The sequence below is a fragment of the Homo sapiens genome, chromosome 3 (assembly GCF_000001405.40).
Source record: "Homo sapiens chromosome 3, GRCh38.p14 Primary Assembly".
In the NCBI taxonomy this organism is placed as follows: Eukaryota; Metazoa; Chordata; class Mammalia; order Primates; family Hominidae; genus Homo; species Homo sapiens.
The window spans coordinates 23,032,912-23,036,517 of record NC_000003.12 but is presented as its reverse complement, the minus strand read 5'-3'; the positions used below and the strand labels follow the sequence as shown (position 1 = coordinate 23,036,517).

General features: G+C 43.0%; 1 annotated feature.

Annotated features, from left to right (window-relative positions):
- Nucleotides 367-867: an enhancer, noted in NCBI's record as "H3K27ac hESC enhancer chr3:23077142-23077642 (GRCh37/hg19 assembly coordinates)". NCBI's record gives its function as "activates a minimal SCP1, AML or CMV promoter by ChIP-STARR-seq in primed H9 embryonic stem cells {active_cell/tissue: H9 hESC(primed)}" and the evidence as "EXISTENCE:reporter gene assay evidence [ECO:0000049][PMID:30033119]".

Here is a 3,606-nt window from a genome sequence, read left to right as displayed (position 1 = left end):
GGCCGAATAGGAACAGCTCCAGTCTGCAGCTCCCAGCGTGATTGATGCAGAAGATGGGTCCAACCAGTTTGGACAGTGTGTACAGCCCATGGAGCATGAGCCGAAGCAGGGTGGGGTGTCGTCTCACCCAGGAAGTGCAAGGGGTTGGGGGATTTCCCTTTCCTAGCCAAGGGAAGCCAGGACAGGCTGTACCTGGAAAAACGGGACACTCCTGCCTGAATAATGCACTTTTCCCAAGGTCTTAGCAACTGGCAGACAAGGAGATTCTCCCTTATGCCTGGCTTGGCAGGTCCCACGCCCATGGAGCCTTGCTCACTGCTATTGCAGCAGTCTGAGATCAAACTTCGAGGTGGCAGCCTGGATGGGGGAGGGGCGTCCACCATTGCTGAGGCTTGAATAGGTAAACAAAGAGGCCAGGAAGCTTGAACTGGGTGGAGCCCACCACAGCTCAGCACAGCTTACTGCCTCTATAGACTCCACCTCTGTGGGCAGGTCATATTTGAACAAAAGGCAGCAGACAGCTTCTGCAGACTTAAACGTCCCTGTCTGACAGCTTGAAGAGAGCAGTTGTTCTCCCAGAGCAGTGGTTGAGCTCTGAGAATGAGAATGGACAGACTGCCTCCTCAAGTGGGTCCCTGACCCCCGTGTAGCCTAACTGGGAGACAGCTCCCAGTAGGGGCCGACAGACAACTCATATAGGCAGGAGCCCTTCTGGGATGAAGCTTCCAGAGGAAGGATCAGGCAGCAATATTTGCCCTTCTGCAATATTGGCTGTTCTGCAGCTTCTGCTGGTGATATCCAGGCAAACAGGGTCTGGAGTGGACCTCCAGCAAACTCCAACAGACCTGCAGCTGAGGGACCTGACTGTTAGAAGGAAAACTAACAAACAGAAAGGAATAGCACCAACATCAACAAAAAGGACATCTACACCAAAACCCCATCTGTAGGTCACCAACATCAAAGACCAAAGGTAGATAAAACCACAAAGATGGAGAGAAACCAGAGCAGAAAAGCTGAAAATTCTAAAAACCAGAGTGCCTCTTCTCCTGCAAAGGATCGCAGCTCCTCACCAGCAATGGAACAAAGCTGGATGGAGAATGATTTTGACGGGTTGACAGAAGTAGGCTTCAGAAGGTGGGTAATAACAGACTTCTCCAAGCTAAAGGAGCATGTTCAAACCCATCACTAGGAAGCTAAAAACCTTGAAAAAAGGTTAGATGAATGGCTAACTAGAATAAACAGTGTAGAGAAGACCTTCAGTGACCTGATGGAGCTGAAAACCATGGCATGAGAACTTTGTGAGGCATGCACAAGCTTCAATAGCCGATTTGATCAAGTGGAAGAAAGGGTATCGTGATCGAAAATCAAATTAATGAAATGAAGCGAGAAAACAAGGTTAGAGAAAAAAGAGTAAAAAGAAATGAACAAAGCCTCCAAGAAATATGGGACTATGGGAAAAGACCAAATCTACGTTTGATTGATGTATCTGAAAATGATGGGGTGAATGGAACCAAGTTAGAAAACACTCTTCAGGATATTATCCAGGAGAACTCCCCCAACCTAGCAAGGCAGGCCAACATTCGAATTCAGGAAATACAGAGAACACCACAAAGATACTCCTCGAGAAGAGCAACCCCAAGACATATAATTGTCAGATTCACCAAGGTTGAAATGAAGGAAAAAATTTTAAGGGCAGCCAGAGAGAAAGGTTGGGTTACCCACAAAAGGAAACCCATCAGACTAAAAGTGAATCTGTCTGCAGAAACCAAGCCAGAAGAGAGTGGGGGCCAATATTCAACATTCTTAAAGAAAAGAATTTTCAACCCAGAATTTCATATCCAGCCAAACTAAGCTTCATAAGTGAAGGAGAAATAAAATCCTTTACAGACAAGCAAATGCTGAGAGATTTTGTCACCACCAGGCTTGCCTTACAAGAGCTCCTGAAAGAAGCACTAAATATGGAAAGAAACAACCAGTAGCAGCCACTGCAAAAACATGCCAAATTGTAAAGACCATCAATGCTAGGAAGAAACTGCATCAACTAACGAGCAAAATAACCAGCTAACATCATAATGACAGGATCAAATTCACACATAACAATATTAACCTTAAATGTAAATGGACTAAATGCTCCAATTAAAAGACACAGACTGGCAAATTGTATAAAGAGTCAAGACCCATCAGTGTGCTGTATTCAGGAAACCCATCTCACATGCAAAGACGCACATAGGCTCAAAGTAAAGGGATGGAGGAAGATCTACCAAGCAAATGGAAAACAAAAAAGGGCAGGAGTTGCAATCCTAGTCTCTGATAAAACAGACTTTAAACCAACAAACATCAAAAGAGACAAAGAAGGCCATTACATAATGGTAAAGGGATCAATTCAACAAGAAGAGCTAACTGTCCTAAATGTATATACACCCAAGGCAGGAGCACCCAGATTCATAAAGCAAGTCCTTAGAGACCCACAAAGAGACTTAGACTCTCACACTATAATCATGGGAGACTTTAACACCCCGCTGTCAATATTAGACAGATCAACGAGACAGAAGTTTAACAAGGATATCCAGGACTTGAACTCAGCTCTGCACCAAGCAGACCTAATAGACATCTACAGAGCTCTCCACCCCAAATCAACAGAATATACATTCTTCTCAGCACCACATCACCCAGCTTCCAAAACTGACCATATAGTTGGAAGTAAAGCACTCCTCAGCAAATGTAAAAAACAGAAATCACAACAAACTGTCTCTCAGACCACAGTGCAATCAAATCAGAACTCAGGATTAAGAAACTCACTCAAAACTGCACAACTACATGGAAACTGAACAACCTGCCCTTGAGTGACTGCTGGGTAAATAACAAAATAAAGGCAGAAATAAAGATGTTCTTTGAAACCAATGAGAAGAAAGACACAACCTACCAGAATCTCTGGGACACATTTAAAGCTGTGTGTAGAGGGAAAGTTATAGCACTAAACGCCCACAAGAGAAAGCAGGAGAGATCTAAAATCAACACCCTAACATCACAATTAAAAGAACTAGAGAAGCAACAGCAAACAAATTCAAAAGCCAACAGAAGACAAGAAATAAGTAAGAGCAGAACTGAAAGAGGTAGAGACAAAACCCCTTCAAAAAATCAATAAATCCAGAAGCTGTTTTTTTGAAAAGATCAACAAAATTGATAGACTGCTAGCAAGACTAATAAAGAAGAAAAGAGAGAAGAATGAAAGAGATGCAATAAAAAATGATAAAGGAGGTATCACCACCAATCCCCCAGAAATACAAACTACGATCAGAGTATACTATAAGCACCTCTATGGAAACAAACTAGAAAATCTAGAAGAAATGGATAAATTCCTAGACTCATACATCCTCCCAAGACTAAACCAGCAAGAAGTTGAATCTCTGAATAGACCAATAACAGGCTCTGAAATTGAGGCAATAATTGATAGCCTACCAACCAAAAAAGTCCGGGAACAGATGGATTCACAGCCAAATTCTACCACAGGCACAAAAAGGAGCTGGTACCATTCCTTCTGAAATTATTCCAATCAATAGAAAAAGAGGGACTCATCCCTAACTCATTTTATGAGGCCAGCATCAT